The sequence below is a fragment of the Homo sapiens genome, chromosome 17, assembly GCF_000001405.40.
Source record: "Homo sapiens chromosome 17, GRCh38.p14 Primary Assembly".
Classification (NCBI taxonomy): domain Eukaryota; kingdom Metazoa; phylum Chordata; class Mammalia; order Primates; family Hominidae; genus Homo; species Homo sapiens.
In genome coordinates, this window is record NC_000017.11 from 20200519 (window position 1) to 20221553 (window position 21035).

At 41.4% G+C, this 21035-nt stretch overlaps 1 protein-coding gene across 34 annotated transcripts in view; it reads left to right on the plus strand.

Annotated features, from left to right (window-relative positions):
• The window catches only part of SPECC1 (sperm antigen with calponin homology and coiled-coil domains 1), a 309668-nt gene that overhangs the window by 191160 nt on the left and 97473 nt on the right, over window positions 1-21035 (plus strand). For 22 of the 34 annotated variants that reach the window (NM_001386083.2, NM_001243439.2, NM_001386080.1 and 19 more), the window contains one exon: window positions 3815-5394. The exons of 3 other annotated variants lie outside the window; for them this stretch is intronic. In NM_001386083.2, the coding sequence (NP_001373012.2) occupies window positions 3815-5394 (1580 nt within the window). Of the gene's footprint in view, window positions 1-3814; window positions 5419-21035 lie in introns of all 34 variants that reach the window. 9 more of the 34 variants (XM_047437065.1, XM_017025319.2, XM_047437067.1 and 6 more) reach the window with 1 other exon arrangement.

The window sequence follows — 21035 nt, forward strand, 5'->3', positions numbered from 1 at the left end:
CTGGCTGAGCCAATCCCTGTTCCACTGGCCCTTCTCTCCACTGTCCCTTATGTGGTGCTGTGTAAGGAAGCATGGCCAGTCTCAGGACTTCAGAGTGCTTTGGTTAGCAGTGAGGTCTGACTCCCACTGCTTCAAGGAGGTGTCGTAAGCTGTAGGGCTGTTGCTCTTTACTTTTCCCTGTCAGTACCCACGAGGAGGTGTGTTTGGGCTGGAGGCCTGGGCTCACATGGTGGGTGCACAACCAAGACCATCATCATTGGTCTGATGATGAATTTTTAGCAACTCTGAACCTAACCTGTGCTCTGTAACAGTTTCTGAAATGAGGTGTACAGAGATGGGAAGAATCTTTTGGAAAACAGAGACAGACATAGTAAAAAAAAAAAAAAAGGAAAAAGAATAGATATAACAAAAATATGGCTGGATTGTACATTTCATAATACACATCCATTCATAAATATACTTTAGTTTCATGGTTTTTTAAAAATTCCTAGTAGTATAGATAAGGCAGAAGTAACACTTATGGGGAGAACAGACTGCAATTTGGCAGCAAAAGGAAGGTGTTAAACTGTAGCTGGAAATAACAGCAGACTTGATCTGTTCTATATTAATTTTTCCAGCTTCAAAACCAACAAACAATTGAAGGTTTAAAAAAAAGAAAGTGGCTGGGCACGGTGGCTCACGCCTGTCATCCTAGCACTTGGGAGGCCAAGGCGGGGAGATCACCTGAGGTCAGGAGATCGAGACCAGCCTGGCCAACATGGTGAAACCCCATCTCTACTAAAAAAAAAAAAACAAAAAAACGAAATACAGTAAATTAGCCGAGCATGGTGGCTCGCGCCTGTAGTTCCAGCTATTCGGGATGCTGAGGCAGGAGAATCACTTAAACTTTGGAGGCAGAGGTTGCAGTGAGCTGAGGTCGCACATTGCATTCCAGCCTGGGCAACAAGAGCAAAACTCCATCTCAAAAAAATAAAAAAAGAAAGAAAAAGTCAGCCTTAATTTAGTGATGTTATTAAGAATAACAAATGCCAGTGTGATGATCAGTCCTGGACTCTCAGGTTTGCCTGTTCTGACTAGAGTTATGGTGAAACTTTAGTTATCTTCCAGTTTTTAATACGGTCCTTGCTGCAATGACTTTATTCTAGAGAACTAGCATTACTAAAACATTTTAGTGCTTAGTGGTTTTTAATACTTATTTCACAAGAATAATTAAATAAGTCTTTTCCTCGTTGAGTGTGTAGTATGATGCAGGTTAGGTATCTGTGACACCTATAAGTAAGGCTGACCCATGAACAACACTAGCTTGAACTGTGTGGGTCCATTTATATGGAGACTTAAAAAAAATAAATACATTGGAAAATTATTTGGAGAGTTGCAACAGTTTGAAAAAAATTCAGATGAACTGGGTAGTCTAGAAATATGAAAACAATTGAGAAAAAGTTACATATGTCATGAATGCATAAAATACATGTAGATACTAATAATCAGTTTTATCATTTACTACCATAAAATATACACAAATCTATTATAAAAAGTTAAAATTTGTCTAAACTTATGCACACACAGACTGTACATGGTGCTATTCATAGTTGAGAGAAATGTAAACAAATATAAAGATGCAGTATTATAACTGCATACAATTAACTGTAGTACATACAGTACTCCTGTAACAATTCTATAGCCACTTCCTGATGTTGTTGCAGTGCGCTCAAGCATTGGGGGTAGCTGCTTGGAAGGTACTGTGATGCTAATCATCTCTGTGGGAGCAGTTCCTCTCTCCAGTACACCTCAGATCGCAGTAAAAAGTGACCTCTTGAGATTCTTGAGTATGTTTTGTTGTGTTTAGTGCAGTACCACAAACCTTGAATAACACTATGGGACCCATACAAAGTGCCACTAGTGATGCTGGCAGTGCTCCCTAGAAGCCAATAAAACCCCTGACAGCATTGAATTGCTTGCTAGATTGAGGAATGGTTGCCTGTCGCTTCAGACAGATGATTCATTTTGCAAACAGACCATGTAAACTTATGGTATTGATAAATACAGTATGGTACTGCAAATGTATTTCCTCTTCCTTATGGTTTTCTGAATAACATTTTCTTTTTTCTATCTCATTTTATCTTAAGAATACAGTATATAATACATATAACACAAAGTGTGTGTTAACTGTTTATGTTTTCAGTCAGGCTTCCGGTCAACAATAGGCTATTAGTAGTTAAGTTTCTGGGGAGCCAAAAGTTATACACAGAGTTTTGACTGCATGAAAGGTTGGCACCCCTAACCTCCAAGTTGTTCAGGGGTCAACTATATTAAAAGTCTATGATATACTCTTGGCTTTCCAGAAACTTAATTTGAAGAAGTTAATTTAAAAACCATAGTTTTCTATATATTAATTTGACAGTTCAGCCTTTATTAGGTCAAAGTTTCAAAAGAGCTCAGCTGTTAGATGTTTAGTAATGAATGCCATCAGCCTTTATGTCATCAGGATTCAGGATGTTTAGGTGTGTGTTTGCTCAGGGCTCAGAAATAGTCTTGGTGGTGGGTTTACAGCTGCCCATCTTGTTAGGTGTGGAACCTGCCTTAGCGCTGGGGCTGCTGCCAGTCTATGGGAACATTCCCTCCCGTGCCCTTCCTACACTGTAGAGGCCTACAGGTTGATGACCACTTCTGGGACCCTTCATTACACCTCTCACTGAAAGCATGTAGAGTTGTGTAAGTGACAGCAGCCAGCCTTGACTCATCAAATAGTCTTTCAGTTTGTAAAAAAAAAAAAAAAAAAGTCCAGGATTTTATTTTACACTGTAACATCTGAGGTGGGTTTCAATTCTAGAGCACAATGGAGACTGATGTCTGGGTTTCACCCCTAGAATTGTTTTTACATTGTCTGTGATATAGTACAGATGAAAATAAAAGAGAATTATTTACACCTTACATTTGCTGTTACAAGTATTCTGTATTATGTCTATATCATGTCAAGTAACATAGGTATGTTCTTATTTCATTTATTCTTGTTTCTCCATGTACACAAATGAGTACATCATTTCCACTTACGGCAAAAGTGATATGTCATTGTATCAGATCCATCTCTCAGTATTATCTGTATCTTCTGATTTCTTAATCAAATTTATGCTGTCAAAATATGTTAATGATGTTTTTTAAAGTGTTTATTGAGAAATTCACAAAGAACTTGTATTTTGTCAAAAGGCCATTGTTTTTGTTGCCAACATTATCAGTGCAGATGTACTAAATTGCAAGTTACAGAAAACCCAGCTCAAGGTGACTTATAGGAAGGGTATTTACTGGCTTGCCTAACTGAAAGGCCAGCTATAGGCCAAACTTCAGGGTTGATTTGATTTAGCAACTTAACAATGCTATTGAGAGTTTAGTTTCCTTCTTCCTTCTCTGCCATCTGCATTCCCACCTTCCTCTTGAAAGGGCAGGGTGGTTGCCAGCCATTCCCACACCTACACATTTTCTCACTCTGGTCCCGTGGTGTTTAATAGCTTGCCCAGAAAACCTTCCCTTTGTCACATTGATCTTAATTGAGTTGTGTGCCCATGCGTGAACCAGCAACTGGCTGGGGATGGGGTCATCCTGAGTAGCTCAGGCTTGGAGTCAGCCTCACCCAAAGTATAGGGCTGTGGGGAGGAAGCACAGAAACCACAGTCAGAACTGGGTAATTAGCTAGAGGAGGAGGAAATGGATGAAGAGCGACAGCCACTGTCCACTGTGCCATGTGATTTACAGTCATTTGGGTTTTGTTTATAAGAATGCTTGCTTTATTTTTTCATTTTTTTCTTCTTCTGTCTTTAAGGGGCCTTTACAACAACTAAACGGACAGGCATTCCAGCCCCACGGGAATTTTCAGTAACTGTCTCAAGAGAGAGGTCTGTGCCACGTGGTCCCTCCAACCCCAGGAAATCAGTGTCCAGTCCAACTTCTTCCAACACTCCCACTCCTACGAAACACCTGAGGACCCCTTCCACAAAGCCCAAGCAAGAGAATGAAGGTGGAGAAAAGGCTGCGCTTGAGTCCCAAGTTCGGGAACTTTTGGCAGAAGCCAAAGCAAAAGATAGTGAAATTAACAGGCTTCGAAGTGAACTAAAGAAATACAAAGAGAAAAGGACTCTGAACGCTGAGGGGACTGATGCTTTGGGCCCAAATGTCGATGGAACATCAGTCTCCCCAGGTGACACGGAACCTATGATAAGAGCTCTTGAGGAGAAGAACAAGAACTTTCAGAAAGAGCTTTCCGATCTAGAGGAAGAAAACCGGGTCCTGAAGGAGAAACTGATCTATCTTGAGCACTCCCCAAATTCAGAAGGGGCAGCAAGTCACACTGGCGACAGCAGCTGCCCAACATCCATAACTCAAGAGTCAAGCTTCGGAAGCCCAACTGGAAATCAGATGTCCAGTGACATTGATGAGTATAAAAAAAACATACATGGAAATGCATTACGGACATCAGGCTCCTCAAGTAGCGATGTTACCAAAGCTTCTTTGTCGCCAGATGCTTCCGACTTTGAGCACATTACAGCAGAGACACCCTCAAGGCCCCTGTCCTCCACCAGTAACCCCTTTAAGAGTTCAAAGTGTTCTACTGCTGGGAGTTCCCCAAACAGCGTAAGTGAATTGTCCCTGGCTTCCCTCACAGAGAAGATACAAAAGATGGAAGAAAACCACCATAGCACTGCAGAAGAACTACAGGCTACTCTACAAGAATTATCAGACCAGCAACAAATGGTACAGGAATTGACAGCTGAAAATGAGAAGCTGGTGGATGAAAAGACGATTTTAGAGACATCCTTTCATCAGCATCGAGAGAGGGCAGAGCAGCTAAGTCAAGAAAATGAGAAGCTGATGAATCTTTTACAAGAGCGAGTAAAGAATGAAGAGCCCACCACTCAGGAAGGAAAAATTATTGAACTGGAGCAGAAGTGCACAGGTATTCTTGAACAGGGCCGCTTTGAAAGAGAGAAGCTACTCAACATTCAGCAGCAGTTGACCTGTAGCTTGCGGAAGGTTGAGGAAGAAAACCAAGGAGCTTTAGAAATGATTAAACGTCTGAAGGAAGAAAATGAAAAACTGAATGAGTTTCTAGAACTGGAACGGCATAATAATAACATGATGGCCAAAACTTTGGAAGAGTGTAGAGTTACCTTGGAAGGGCTAAAAATGGAGAATGGATCTTTGAAGTCTCATTTGCAGGGTGAGAAGCAGAAAGCCACAGAGGCCAGTGCTGTGGAGCAGACGGCAGAGAGCTGCGAAGTTCAAGAAATGTTGAAAGTAGCCCGAGCAGAGAAAGATCTACTGGAACTGTCTTGCAATGAGCTCAGACAAGAATTACTAAAGGCAAACGGTGAAATTAAACATGTTTCCAGTCTGCTGGCCAAGGTGAGAAGAGACAGCTCTTTACTGGTATTTGCTCATCCTTGTTCACATTTCTGCCCTTAACCTCTAAATTCACAGAGCACAGAGAAGCATTTGCTTAGTCTGTTTCATTCACGAAGCCAGCATTCCAGCTTGAAGGCCTGTTAGATTGCACACAGGTTGGGATTGGGGGATACAAAAAGGAAACACCCAAATTTCTGATTATGGGCGGTTCAAAATGTGGGGATGTAGAGTCAAATCAGAGTATGATGCAGTGATAAAAGAATATCATACAGCCTATGCCCAGGCTCTAGTCTAGTGCAAAGGAGGGGCATCTGGTGTAACGTGGGGGTTGGGCGTAGCACAGAAGGACTTCCTGGAAGAAATAGCAACTGAGCTGAGTTCTGAAGATTGAGTGGGAGTTTGCCAGTCTGTCAGCATGCTTTTAGCTGCCAGTAACAGAAAATGAAATCACTCCCAATTTTCAACTAAAATATTACCACTATTTTGGTGTTTTCTTCCAGATATATGTGTGTGTATGTGTATCATACAAGTTACACAAATTTATAATCATCCTGTACATGTTATTAACTTTTTTTGCATTTGACATTTTAGAAATATTAAAACTTTTCTCAGCATATTCCTATCATTAAATATTCATTTAAACATTATTTTAAAGGCCAGATACTATTTTAATATAAATATTTCATATTTACCCTGTTGTTGAACATACATGTATTGTCAAACATTTGTGGTCTTTCCAGTCTTTCAATATTATAAATACTTTTTTATATCTATCTTACTGTTTATTTAGGAAAAATTCCTAGACGATGACTTACCGAGTCAAAGAGTATAAACATTTTAAAGACTTTCAACACATTCAGCCAGATTGCCCTTCAGAAATATTATGCCAGTTTATTCATCCTAGCGGTCATGAGATCATGAGCTTTCCTGAGCCTTTGCCAGCACTTGGTATTACATTGTTATATCATTTAAATCTGTTAATCATTTCATTTTTTTAACCTTTTTTGCTTGGGAAGATCTTCCATAGCCCAAGAGCAAATAACTTTTCTCAACACTTTAATCAGCCTGTAATTTTGTTTTTGATGCAAGAATTGTGGTGATTTTATGATATTCTGCCCACCTCCCAGAGCAGTGCTGGAGAGGTGCAGAGAGATGGCCTCCTATTTCTTGTTCCCTCCAAGTTCTGGGTCTGATTTAGGGATCTACTGGCAAGAGAGATTCAAAACATCTTCCTACCTTAGTTTAGGGGTTGTCATTGTTTCAAGGAGCAAATTATGCCATGAGCTCTCAGGGAGATTTTTCTCCACTGCTTCGTCTGTCTTAAGATGAGTCTGTTGCAGCCTGATTCTGCAATTTGGCCATCTGATGAGCTTAGTGGTGGGTCATGTTAAGGAGTTTCTCTCTTTGTCTGTATTCTAAATTTGTAGGTATTTTATTGAAAGTACGGAAGTAATTCCATTAGAGGTTACTAGTCAGGCTTGGCATTGGGTTTTAATATCTTGTGGAGTAAGATTATTCTTTTTTTACTTTAAGATTACTCACTACTCTCTGGCAAAATGTTTTATCTCCCATGTGCACCTTCTTGAAGTTCTTTATCAGTCCCTCTGTGTTTTTGGTAGTTTGGCATTACATTAAATGTGCATATCAGTGAGAAATAATTTGACATCTTAAAAATAGCTTATTTTTTTCTGATCATAAAATATTTTTATTACAGACGATTTAAAAAGTACAGAAAAGTATAAAAAAGAAAAGTATTACCTTTAATTTCACCACTTGGAGAAAAACTGCTAACCTTTTGCTGTATGTCCTTTCAGGCCTTTTCTCAGTTTATACATGTTTGAGCATGCATAAAAACTTGCATTGATATGATTATGATATTTTGTCTTCCTATCCAGAAGAGTAGAGTATGTCTGTCCACATTCCATTACAAAGAATCAGTTGGATTAGTTTATCTATTCCACTATTAATCTGTTTCTGATTAACTTGTTTCTACTTTTATCTTTATTAATTTTTTTGTCTTATTTTTTGTACATTTTGGTTTCTTGACTAAAATTCTTTGTTCATTTAACTTTTTTTTATCCTTGGTTGATAATGAAAGCATTTAAAGTTATAGCTTTGGTAAATAGAGGCAATAAAATCTGGAATCTTCTGGAATAAACTAAATGTAATTTAAAGGAAAGTGTGCATTTTCTGTAGAGTGCAAGGCACAACATATATGTTTAAAATCAAACTGTTATTATTCATGTATCCTACATCTTACTGCATGCTAACTAGAAGTATCAAATACTGATAGTAAGAAGGGAAAGGTCCTAGCTAGTATTTTTAGGTGAGAGTTTGAGGTAAAGATGGGGGCATGCTATCACATAGGGTTTCTTGTATATCTATCAAGACCCTAGGTTTGTGATTTTGTGCTGTCTTATGTGCACAGAGACTGATTTGTAATTGCAGTGGACTTGTAACATACTAATCTTCCTACCCTTTTACATTACTGTAGAAAAAGCAAAACATAGACCTCCTAAATGGACTAATACTGATTGTATCTCTACCACAGACTATCAAGTAATCTGCCAACAACCATGAATTTAAATGATAATACTTAAGAGACTCATGTCCAAAGGATAACAGGAGAAGTTTTAGCACAAAACTATGATGAAGGGTCTAACATGCTGGACTGGGTCCTCTTGACTTACCCAGTGAGCAATGATGTGACCTTGGGCAGGCCCCTTTACATTGTGCAATGTCGAATAGAAGCGTGACGGTGGATGGATCCTGGTCTCGTATCTAATTCCAAGGGAAGCATTTAACATTTAATTATGATGTATGTTTTTTGTAGGCATTTGGTACATACCTTTTATTATGTTATGCAAGTATTTGCTAAGAGGTGTTTTGTTTGGTGGTTTATTTTTAGAGACAGGTTCTCGTTTTGTCACTTAGGCTGGAGTGTAGTGGCGATTATAGCTCACTGCAGCCTTGAACTCCTGGGCTCAAGCAATCCTCCCACCTCAGCCTTTCTGGGTAGCTGGGACTGCAGCCAGGCACCACCATGCCTGACTACTTGGCTTGTTTTTAAAGGATGAGGATTGAATTTTTTCTACAGCTAATGACGTGATCTGATAGTTTTTATGTAATCAAGTTTTTTTCTCCTCTAACTTGTTAGTGAGGCAAGTTATAACAACAGATTTTCTAAGGTGCTCTAGTGTAAAATCATGCTTGCATTCCTGGGGTAAATCCTAATTCTTCAGTTTTCAGTGGTTTCACTTGACTTTTTGCTGAGAACTTCCAAATATAGCTGCCTTCAGCAGGTATCGGAGTAACTGTCCTGTTGAGCACCAAGCAACAACGTGTACCCCATGAGCAGTGCATTCATCCACTCTAATGCTTGGCGAAAGGTGAATATTATTAAAAAGGATACAATAAGCTATTTACAAAAGGGGAAAGTGGTGCCAAACCATCCTATGATCTAATAGATTCCGTAAATCTATGTAAGTTTCAAGTTAAGATTACTCAAGCAACCCAGATACCGTCAAAAGAACCTATAAAAAGCCTTGAAAAGTACTTTTTTAAAAATAGGAGGTAGGTGTCTTCCTCAAACAATAAATGGAAAATTGGTAGGATTTCTACACTATCTTGTAGGCTTTTTTTCTTCTCATTTCTTTTTCTTCATTGGTTTGCTGATTTCTTTATTTTTTTCAACTTCTCTGATATACCCCATATGCATCTTGATGGCCGCTTAATCTGTAGTCACATGACATACTTCTGTACAACTTTGAGGACGGGTCTGATTTCCACAGAACCCAAAGCCACCACTCCTATCCTTGCCCTAGCTAGCAAGCAGCATGGAGTTGTATGGGATTGTTGTTTTTCCAGACAATAACATGACCCAGCTTTAATTTACTTTTTTACCTTTTCAGTTGTTTGGGATCTTGGTTTCAAGTTAGAATATCTTTTCTGGGCTTGAAACCTAGAAGTTTTAAAAGAAAATTATCTATTTATTCCCGTGAGGTTGAAGCTTATAGGTGGTATCCTTAGAATCTTAGTTCTTTCTGCAGAAACTTCAGTCCGCTTCCAGAAGAGTAAGGAGATTATAAATAACCCCTTGGCATGAATGGTTTGCGGGAGTCAGCAGAGGTGAAATGACTAGTGTTCTGCTTGTGTGGGTCCTAGAGCCAAACTGATTTAGAGTGGCCAGTGGTCAGAGATGGCAGAACCAGAATTTGAGGGAAATATGTGGCAAATAGATGATCCTGTAGCTGTGACATTGGAATAGGATGCCTTAAAGGACTTAAGAGATCTGGAAACCTGGTTTAAACAGTCAGGTGGGTTGGAAGTGTATCCAGGTGATGTATTGATATATGAGAAACTGCCCTCCTGTCAGCGGCTTGAGCCAGGGGACACTCCCTCCACCCCGGCCCCAAGGGTGGGAGATTGGCTGTGGCTGCCCATGATGCAGGCCCAGGCTGTGGCTGGCAGTGCTGTGGTTCTGGACCTCCTGCCAGGGGTACAGGACAGCTCAGCATTGCCAAGCATCTTGGTCCACCTGTTGGCGACTTGGGGCAGGCATGTCACCTGGACATCTGGGTCCTATGGGGAGAGGGTTTCCCAGAGCTTTACCTTTACATCTGATTGGTGAGAACTGCGTCACACAGTGCCCCCAGGCCACCTCTCTTGAAATCACAGTTGCAGCCTGATTCTTGAACAAAATTGGGATTCTGTTAGGAAGAAACAAGGTGGGGGTGGCTTTTGGTGGGGGATGGGCACTTGCCCCACCAGGCCTCCACTCCCTCACCTTTTCCCACAAAGTACTCACAGTGATCTGATCATGTAGCGCCTTCCGGTGCTGCCTGGGGCACCACATGGCTTCGCCCAGTGCCCAGCTCCCACCACACCTCCACTTGCAGTCCCACCCCACATCCAGCCATATTCCCACCCCTCCCTCCATGCCAGGCCTGGCCGGGCCAGTGACTGTCTGGCAGTCATGTTTGCTCAGGGGGTTTTCTCGGCCTGAAGAGACCCCACCCCATTGACCATTACCTGGTCCCTCCTGAAGCTTTCCGCCTCAGTTATGGGGTCTTCAGCGAGGCATTCAGCTCTGCGGGGCCCTGTCCCATGGAACTTCAGACTCATCTCAGTAAATGACATTATTGTCACTCAGCCAAGGTCACTCATGGGAATGGCCTGACCCACCCTGGCCCTCAGAGGATTCAGATGTGCAGGCAAAACTCTTTGGGGCCCTGCAGGGAAGCTGAGGGAACCTGCTGCCTGAGTAGCCACTGGCTGCTGCTGGAGAGGTGGGAAGGTTACTGAGCTGAAAACATGGAGATTTCAGTCATCTTCAGCTCACACATAAGGCATCCCACTGGCACCAAATATCAACTCTGGTGAGCAGAGGCCTGTGGCTTCATGCTGGGAAGGAGGCCTGTCAGCAGCTCCTGTCAACAGGGCCTGTTTTCCAGCTCCCCTGGGCAAGCCATGAGGATGTGGAAGTCGAGGAGGCCTGTGGAGGCTGTTGGGGAGAGCCCCACAGCTGTTGCACCAGTAAGCCTCTGCTCAAGGGGCTGTGGCCTGGGGAAAATTGCCACAGGCCTCAGCCTGGCTGTGCAGAGCCAGTTTAGCATTAGGAGCGGAATCTTCTAGAGATTAAACTACAAAGCCAGAATGCCTGTGCAGCCTTTTATTTTGTGGGATGTGATAGGCATGTGGCCCGGAACTCATGGCATGTCTGCCAGGTCCTCTCCCGACACCCCCAGGTCTCTGTTCTTGAAGCCCCTTGAAAAGGGGCAGAAGTTTGGTGGAGACAGTCAGATAGTTTGAGGAAGGGTGGTCTTGCCAGTTGGGCAGATCCACAGAACCTGTGGCTCCGACCCCTTGCTCTTACCTGTGACTCCACAGGGGGCTGCTTCCCAATCCTGCCTGACCCTGCTTCCCTGCGATGGACTTGTTTTCTCCTGGACACGTTAATGCCTTTTGTGAGGTGAGGCCTAAGCAGTCTCTTCCTTTCACATGACCTCAGGACTCATCTGCGAACCTGGTGTTGCCCAGCACTTCTCTCTCCAGTCCGAGTTCTTGGGAAGTACCTGCGTGGGGCCTTGTTGCTTCGAAAGGTCCCTACCAGGGTACAGCCACTGCTTCTGAAGCTTGCCTCTGAGTTCCTAAAGGTGAAATACAGATGTTTACCCTCATCTTTGAGTTTTCTAACAGCCTTTCTCCACTATACCTGAAGTGTAAATAAACTAACATTTCCTCCTCTCCCTTGGTGGAGCAGCATTGGCCAAAATAATAATAATTCAACTTTAGGCCAATAAGAATGAACTATGGATGATTATCAGCAGTGTCTATTCACAACAGGGCTAAGAACCGAGCAGAGGGAGTTTTGCAGTACCCAAGCTAGATGCCAGAACAGAAACACCCCACTTTCTTACTCATTGAATTAGCCCGTTTTCATGCTGCTGATAAAGACATACCTGAGACTGGAAAGAAAAAAAGGATTAATGAACTTAACAGTTCCACTTGGCTGGGGATGCCTCACAATCATGGTGGAAGGTGAAAGGCACATCTCACATGGTGGCAGACAAAATAAGAGAGCTTGTGCAGGGAAACTCCCCCTTATATAATCATCAGATCTCGTGAGACTTATACTGTCAGGAGAACAGCACAGGAAAGACCTGCCTCCCTGATTCAATTACCTCCCACTGGGGTCCCTCCCACAACATGTGGGAATACAAGATGAGATTTAGGTGGGGAGGCAGCCAGTCTGTATCACTCATGGTAAATTTACTCAAGCTGTCATTCCAAGTTTATTTCCTTTTAAACTATATGTAATTTTAGCATTGCAATTCCTTCCATCTATTAGGTGTTCAGTAAATACTTTTCAGACGAATGAATGAATGTCAGAGAAACTTGCAGCAGAATTGAGGGGCTGCTATAATTATATTAATATGTTTAAAAAGTAAAGTTTATTATATTTTAATAACAGCAACTAATATTTTGGGCTATTTGTATGTGCTAAGCAGTCTCAGAGCTTTTCCATCATTTAATCTTATTTATCTTAATTTTATGCTGTTGATTCTGTTGTCTAGTATTTTTTCATTTGAGCAAACAGAATGATTTAAGTTATTAGTCTAATGGATTGATGAAATGAAGCCAGCATTCAAAGTTGGGTCTGACCTTAGAGCTCTTATTCTTTTTTTTCTTTTCTTTTTTTTTGAGACATGGTCTTGCTCTGTTGCCCAGGCTGGAGTACAGTGGTGCGATCATAGCTCTCTGCAGTCTCAAATTCCTGGGCTCCAGTGATCCTCCCACCTCAGCTTCCCAAGTAGCTGGAATTACAGGTGTGCAACACTATGCCCAATTTTTTATTTTTATTTTCATAGAGACAGGATCTTGCTCTGTTGACAAGGCTGATCTCAAACTTATGATGATCCTCCCACACCTCAGTGCCTCCCAAAGTGCTGGGATTGCAGGGGTGAGCCAACGTACCCAGAGCTCTTATTATAATCACTGATTTAGACTGCTGCCCAGTTACCTGAAAGCAAAGAAGAGACAGAAAAACACTTAAAGCAGACCTAAGACTAATAGTTGTCACTGTCATCTTAAGGCCAAAGCCCTTTGAAGAAAACCACCTTTGAAAGCCTTGTTGAACTAGGAGAGTTTTACCTGATTGTAATACAATGGAGAAATTCACAGTGAAAACCTGAGTCATCAAGAAATGTTATTTTGTTTGACCTCTACCTGAGTCTTGAGGGGAGAGGGGGTGAGTTGACCCCTGAGTGTATGGGGTGGGGACTCTGGGAATGCTGCCAGAAGAGAACAGCAGGTCCTAAGGCCAGAAAGCCTGGCCACCAAGGAAGTGATGCAGGTAGTTTGTCCTTGTTGGAGTGAACAGGGTGGTCAGTGGAAGTGGCCTGGTGGAGACACCAGCCAAGCAGTTAGGATTTTATCCTCAAGACAGTGGGAGTCTCTGAAGAATTTTTTTTTTTAAATAGCAGCTTTTATTGAGATATGATCCATTTAAATCACGTAAGTCTGTGGGTTTTAGTGTATTCACACAATTGTGCAACCATCACTACAATCAATTTTAGAACATTTTTATCACCCCGTAAAAAAATCTTAACCCACAGCAGTCACCCTCCAAGACCGCCTCCCTCCCAGCCCCTGGCAACCACAAATCTATGTTTTGGCTCTGTGGACTTGGGTCTTCTGGATGTTTTATACACATGGAACCCACGCCCTGCGGCCTCAAGCAGCCCTCCCACTTTAGCCTCCCAGAGTGCTGAAGAGTTCTTTCTATTCTTTGGATACAAATCCTTTACCAGATAAATGATTTGCAAATATTTCCTCTCATTCTGTGGGTTATCTTTTCATTGTCTTGATAATGCCCTTTATGGCACAAAATTGTTTAATTTTTATTTTTATGAAGTCGAATTTAGTTATTTTTCTTTGGTGGTTTGTGCTTTTGGTCGGAGGAATTTTAAGAGTTATGGAATCACATTTACTGTTGAGAAAGATGACTTGGGCCACAGTTAGGTGAGAAAGAATGAAGGACAGAACAGGGAGTGAGTTGGGTGGGAAGATGAGGGCTGGAAAGACATTCATTTTATTTACTTATTTATTTTTGAGACGGAGTCTTGCTCTGTTATCCAGGCTGAGTGCAGTGGTGCATCTCTTCACGCACTGCAGCCTCCACCTCCTGGGTTCAAGCGATTCTCCTGCCTCAGCCTCCTGAGTAGCTGGGATTACAGGCACCTGCCACCACGCCCAGCTAACTTTCCTATTTTTAGTAGAGACGGGGTTTCACCATGTTGGCCAGGCTGGTCTCAAACCCCTGACCTTAAGTGATCCACCCACCTCAACCTCCCAAAGTGCTGGGATTACAGGCGTGAGCCACTGCACCCGGCCTGGAAAGACATTTAGATGTTAGATGTGTAGAAGGGAGGCTCAGTAGGGTCAGGTGACTGATTTGATGTCAGGGACGGGCAGGAGGAAGGCATTTCAGCCTATTCATAGATCTCCAGCTTGTAGGATTGAATGTGCGGTTGTGCTGCTTCCTGGGAGAGGAAACACAGAATGTGGGGCAGGCTTGAGAAGGGAGCGTTATCTGCTGGAGCTAACAAGGATACCCAGGCCTGCAAGCCCAGGCTGCTGTCAGCAACTGCCGATGCAGCCACAGAGGAGATCCGGGAGCCTCTGCCCTTCCAGGCCAAGAGTCCTCCAAGGCCGGGGCCTCGTGCCTGAGGTCTCTCTTTGCCCCTCCAGTACCTTTAGAAGCTGTAGAAATATGTCTAGACAGGATGTTCCATGAATGCATTTCACATATGCTGAGGTTTGTGAGGAGCCTCCACAGTGTCAGAGGAGGTTGCGACTCTGAAGATGAGCAGGTGCGATTCTGAATTCTTGACCATTCTCTGCCCTGGTAGATGATCTCTTTTTAAGCACTCGAGAAAACTTGATTGAATGGACTATATAATCACTATATAATAAACAGATTAAGTCAAAAGCCAAGTAAAATGACAGACTTACACAAGAGGCAGTTATGGGGGGTTTATGAGTCAGGTATCTTTCTTCTCCACTTGTTCTGTTTTCTAATAAAACTGTCTGTACAACTTTAATGTTACTGGAATTTACTCAGAACTTATTATAGTGATCTCATTCTGTCCATGTCTCTATAGTACCATGTTTTTGGCATGTAACTATTTGAATGAAAGATTAAATGATTTCTCATAGCCAGGGCATAATTCTTCAAGATACTGTCTTTGCTATAAAAATTTACAAAAAATAACTAACACTGAAATGTTTGAGCCGCATTTTGTCTCACAGAATGCTTTTACTTGAATGTACTGTTTTCTTTGTTCTTTATATATTGATAATGTTGGGTAATCTATAAACCTAATTCCTTATTCTCTTTAGTCTACAGTCTCTATTCTTATGGCTGCTTTGTGTAGGAGAAGAGCTTGGTTCTTAGATATCTCTAGCTTGATTTCCTTTCTGCTTTTGTTCATCACACTAAAGAAAGCTATATAGATGCCCTGACAGAGATCTTTTTTCAGTATTGTCAAATTATCTGGTATCAAAAAACAGAAACCCTTAAGTAACTTCACAGCTTCTCACAAGGGCTTGCTGCATAATAACAGGCAGATATTTTTATATTCACTTTACAGATTAACATATGAAGAGAGGGAGAAATTAAATCACTTGAAAAGAACAATCCAGCATGTATCAAGTGGCTGAGACCAAACCCTACCCTTGGTCAAACCATCACAAACAGTTGTTTACCCCTCCGAGAGAGGAGAATCTAGATGTGTGTGTTGCCACCAGCATAGGAGTGCTCTTAATATCTGCAGTCGGGGAGAGCATCCCCCCCACCCCCAAGCACTTCCTCTTTGCAGGAGCACTCATCTGGAGATGCCCGAGGCCCATTGCCTTTCCTTAGGGTGCTGGTTAATGTCTAATCTAATTCTTTGATCCAAGCTTGTGAAGTGACAGTGATTCTTTTGGGGAGAGGATGGCAAGTAGCATGACTCAGCCTCCAGGCTTAACTTTATCTTCCGAGTAAGGAGTTTGGGGGTCCTGAGACTTTATTTTCCTTTACATGTGTCTGACAAGCATGGTGTGGGGGTGGGGTGGGTGGAGGAGGTGACCCTTGATAGGATTCTAGAGGGGTCTGACTTCAGAGCTGCCTGCTTATCCTCTGGGCCCTGCGTAGGAACCTCTGCTGCCATATGCCTTGGGCACCTGATGGAAAGGAGTGGCTTTCTCTGTCCTCTCTGCAGGAACCCTTCTTGGGAAGTTTGTTTGACTCTATTTATAGTGCAATTCCACTGGCTCCATATCTACAGAAAGTTGATCTTTGAAATTGAGAGATGCATGAGAGTGATTCCTTTTTTCAAGGGAAACGTTGAAAATCACATTGCTGGGTGTCTAAGAGTGTGATTCTTGACCTAGAGAAGTTAAACTCTAAGGAGCTGGCCAGTCAGACATGTTGGGTGGTCTCCCTGTAGTTCCAGCTTCAGAGGGCTGAGGCAGGAGGATCACTTGAGCCCCGGAGTTCAGCCTAAGCAACATAGCGAGACCCCATGTCTTAAAAAAAAGAAAAAAAAATCTCAAGGGAAATGCAAAGGAGCTGGCCAGCAGAGAGACCAGCAATGTGAATAGGGCCTGGATCCCCTGCAGTCGTGGAAGGGTAGGCTTTGGTCTCAGCCACTTGATACATGCTGGATTACTCTTTTCAAGTGATTTAATTTCTCCCTCTCTTCATATGTTATTCTGTAAAATGAATATAAAAATATCTGCCTGTTATTATGTAGCAAGCCCTTGTGAGAAGTTGTGAAATGACTTAAGGGTTTCAGTTTTTTTATTGTGTGTGTGTGTGTGTGTTTTTTTTTTCTTGTAAATAGCTTTCTGGAATATATTGTTAAACTTGAGATAGTTATTCCAACATCCAAGAAGGATGTAGTGATGTGTGCATGTGAAACAACTGCTGATTTGCAGGTCCCCTCCCCCATGCCGAGTTACCTAGCTTGTAACTTGGCGCAGAGCCTTTGAGGGACAGCAGCCTCACCTGCAAGCAGAGGCTTTGCTCAGGGTGCTCGACCTCTAGGCTGCCTCGTTACATCCTCAGTTTAATTCCTGGCCCACAGTTGTCCCAGCCAAACCACATGCATGTTTCTAGACTCCAGGTGACAGGCCCTTAGCCTGAGGACTCTACAACATGCAGCCAGGTAGTTATGCAGAAGGCCACAGTCTGCCCCAGGATGCAAGACTCAAAAGCCACCTTCTATTGCTGCTTTTCAAATGATTTCAGACATCAGCCTTCCAGGATCTAAAATGCATTACTTCTTTTCTCCTTAAATTCATCTTCTGGCCAGGCACAGCAGCTCATGCCTGTAATCCCAGCACTTGGGAGGCCAAGATGGGAGGATCACTTAAGCCCGGGAGCCTGGGCAACATAGCAAGACCCCACCTATAAAAAAAAAATGAACTGGGCATTGTGATGCACACCTATAGTCCTGGCTCTGAGGGAGGCCGAAGTGGGGAGAATGGCTTGAGCCAGGAGATAGAGGCTGCAATGACCCGTGATCGTGCCACTGTGCTCCAGCCTGGGCAACAGAGCAAGACCTTGTCCCTTGACTCCAAAAAAACTAAAAAATAGTAAAGTCAGCTTCTGTTTAATAAAGTAGCTATTGCTAAGTATATATTGGTCTTTCATGTATTGTGATTTTTCTTGGTCAAACTGACCTGTATTATATTACTACCTAGTGTTGTATATATAATACATAGGGCAATTGTGAGAGAAAGAATGACTTTCATTGACTTTTACTGTTACATGTTCCAGGCACTATGATAAACTCTCCAAGTCATTATTTCACTTAACTGCCCACCCCCCAACCCTGCATTGTTAGATTATGAAACAGAGGCAGAGGGATTAAGGAATACAAGGCTTGATTCACTAGAATTGGGGTTTAAACCCTGGCGGTCTGGCTCCAGAATATATGTCCTTAGTCATCTTGATGCATTTAAGCAGCTTTCAAGCTTCAGAGCACAACCTGCAATGATCTATTTTGTATTACAATCCAGAGTCTCACGCCTTTATAATTAAAACACAAGCTTCACAGAGCAGTGCTGACCCCTGAGCACAGGCAGGGCTCTCTGGCTGTTTCCCAGGCTGTTTCTCTCTCTCTTCTCCTGTCCTTTCCCTCCGTCCCTTCCTCCCCCCTCCCTTATTCTTTTTTTCTAATTTTTAATTGTTATGGGTACATAGTAGGTATATATATTTATGGGGTACCTGAGATATTTTGACACAGGTATGCAATGCTGTAGTCACCCTGTTGTGCTGTCAAATAATAGGTTTTATTAACTATATTGTATCCATTAACCATCCCTGTTTCCACCCCTGCCCCACCACCCTTCCCAGCCTCTGGTAATCATTCTACTCTCTATCTTCATGAGTTCAATTGTTTTAATTTTTAACTCCCACAAATGAGTGAGAATATATGAATTTATCTTTCTATGTCTGGCTTATTTCACTTAACATAATGATTTCCAGTTCCATCCATGTTGTTGCAAATAGCAGGATCTCATTCTTTTTTATGGCTGAATACTCTGTTGTGTATATGGACTATATTTTCTTTATCCATTTGTCTGTTGATGGATACTTAGGTTGATTCCAAGTCTTGGCTATTGTAAATAGTGCTGCAATAAACTTGGTGAGTGCAGATATCTCTTTGATAGACTAATTTCCTTTCTTTTGGGTGTATACCCAGCAGTGTGATTGCTGGATCATATGGTAGTTCTATTTTTAGTTTTTTTGAGGGACTTCTGTACTGTTTTCCATAGTGGCTGTACTAATTTACTTTCCCGCCAACAGTGTACAAGGGTCTGCTTTTCTCTGCATCTTCCCCAGCATTTGTCATTCATGACTTTTGAATAAAAGTCATGACTTTTGGATAAAAGCCATTTTAATTGGGGTGAGATGGTATCTCATTGTAGTTTTGACTTGCATTTGCATTTCTCTGATGATCAGTGACATTCAGTATGTTTTCATGTTTCTGTTTGCCATTTGTATGTCTTTAAAGAATGTCTAGTAAGATCTTTTGCCCACTGTTTAATCAGACTACTAGATTTTTTTCCCCCATTGAATTGTTTAAGCTCCTTATATATTCTGGTTATTAATTCCTTATCGGATGGGTAGTTTGCAAGTATTTTCTCCCATTCTGTGGGCTGTCTCTTCACTTTGTTGATTGTTTCCTTTGCTGTGCAGAAGCTTTTTAACTTGATGTGATCTCATAGGTTCATTTTTGTTTTGGTATTCTGTGCTTTTGGGCTATTACTCAAGAAATCATTGCCCAGATCAATGTCCTGGAGAGTTTCCCCAATGTTGTTGGTTTTTTAGTAGTTTTCATAGTTTGAGGTCTTAGATGTAAGTCTTTAATCCTTTTGATATGATTTTTGTATATGGGGGGGGTGTCTAGTTTCATTCTTCTGCTCATGGATATCCAGTTTTCCTAGCACCATTTACTGAAGAGACTGTCTTTTCCTCAATATATGTTCTTGGCACCTTTGTCGAAAATGAGTTCATGTAGATGTATGGATTTATTCCTGGATTCTCTATTCTATTTCATTATTCTATGTGTCTGTTTTTATGCCAGTACCATGCTGTTTGGGTTACTATGGCTCTGTAGTATAATTTGAAGTCAGATAATGTGATTCTTCCAGTTTTGTTCTTTTTGCTCAGGATGGCTTTGGCTATTCTGGGTCTTTTGTGGTTCCATATGACTTTTAGGATTTAAAAAAAATTATAAAGAATGTCATTGGTATTTTGATAGGGATTGCTTTGACTGTTTAGATTGCTTTGGGTAGTGTGGACATTTTAACATATTGACTTATCCAGTCTCTACACATAGAGTGTCTTTATTTTTGTGTGTGTGTTTTCTTCCATTTCTGGTGTCAATATTTTATAGTTTTCATTGTAGAGATCTTTCACTTCTTTGATTAAGTTTATTCCTACTTTATTCTACTCACAGCTACTATAAATGGGATTACTTTCTTGATTCCTTTTTCAGATTGTTCACTGTTGGCATATAAAAATGCTACTGATTTTTGCATGTTGATTTTGTATCCTGCAACTTCACTGAATTTATCAGTTCTTAATAGTTTTTTTTTTTTTTTTTTTTGTGGAGGCTAGTTTTTTCCAGATATCAAGTCATATCATCTGCAAACCAGGATAATTTGACTTCTTCCTTTCCAATTTGGATGCCCTTTATTTCTTTCCCTTGTCTGATTGCTTTAGCTGGGACTTCCAGTACTGTGTGTGAATAACAGTGGTGACAGTGGGCATCCTTATCCTGTTCCAGATCTTAGAGGAAAAGCTTTCAGTTTTTCTCCATTCATATGATACTAGGTGTGGGTCTGTTGTATATGGCTTTTATTATGTTGAGATATGTTCCTTCTGTACCCAGTTTATTGACAGTTTTTATCATGAAGGGATGTTGCATTTTCTCAAATGTTTTTTCAGCATCAGTTGAAATGACCATATGGTTTTTACCTTTCATTTGGTTGATACCACATTGCATATGTCAAACCACCTTTGCATCCCTAGGATAAATCCCACTTGGTCATGATGAATAATCTTTTAAATATTTTGTTGAATTTGGTTTGCTAGGATTTTGTTGAGGATTTTTGCATCAATGTTCACCAGGGATATTGGCCTATAGTTTTCTTTTTTTCATGTATCTTTCTTTGTCTGGTTTTGTTATCAGGATAATACTGCTTTCAGAATTGGTTTGGAAACATTCCCTTCTCTTCTATTTCTTGGAATAGTTTGAATAGGATTGGTATTTTTCTTTAAATGTTTGGTAAATTTCAGCAGTGAAACCATTGGGTCCTGGGCATTTCTTTGCTGGGGGACTTTTTATTCTGGCTTTTATCTCGTTACTTGTTACCGGTCTGTTCAGGTTTTGGATTTCTTCATGATTCAATCTTGTTAGGTTGTATGTGTCTAGGAATTTATCCATTTCTTCTAGGTTTTCCAATTTATTGGCATATAGTTGCTCATAGTAGTCTCTAATGATCCTTTGAATTTCGGTAGTATTGGTTGCAATATCTCCTTTTTTATCTTTGATTTTATTTAATTGGGTCTTCTCTTTTTC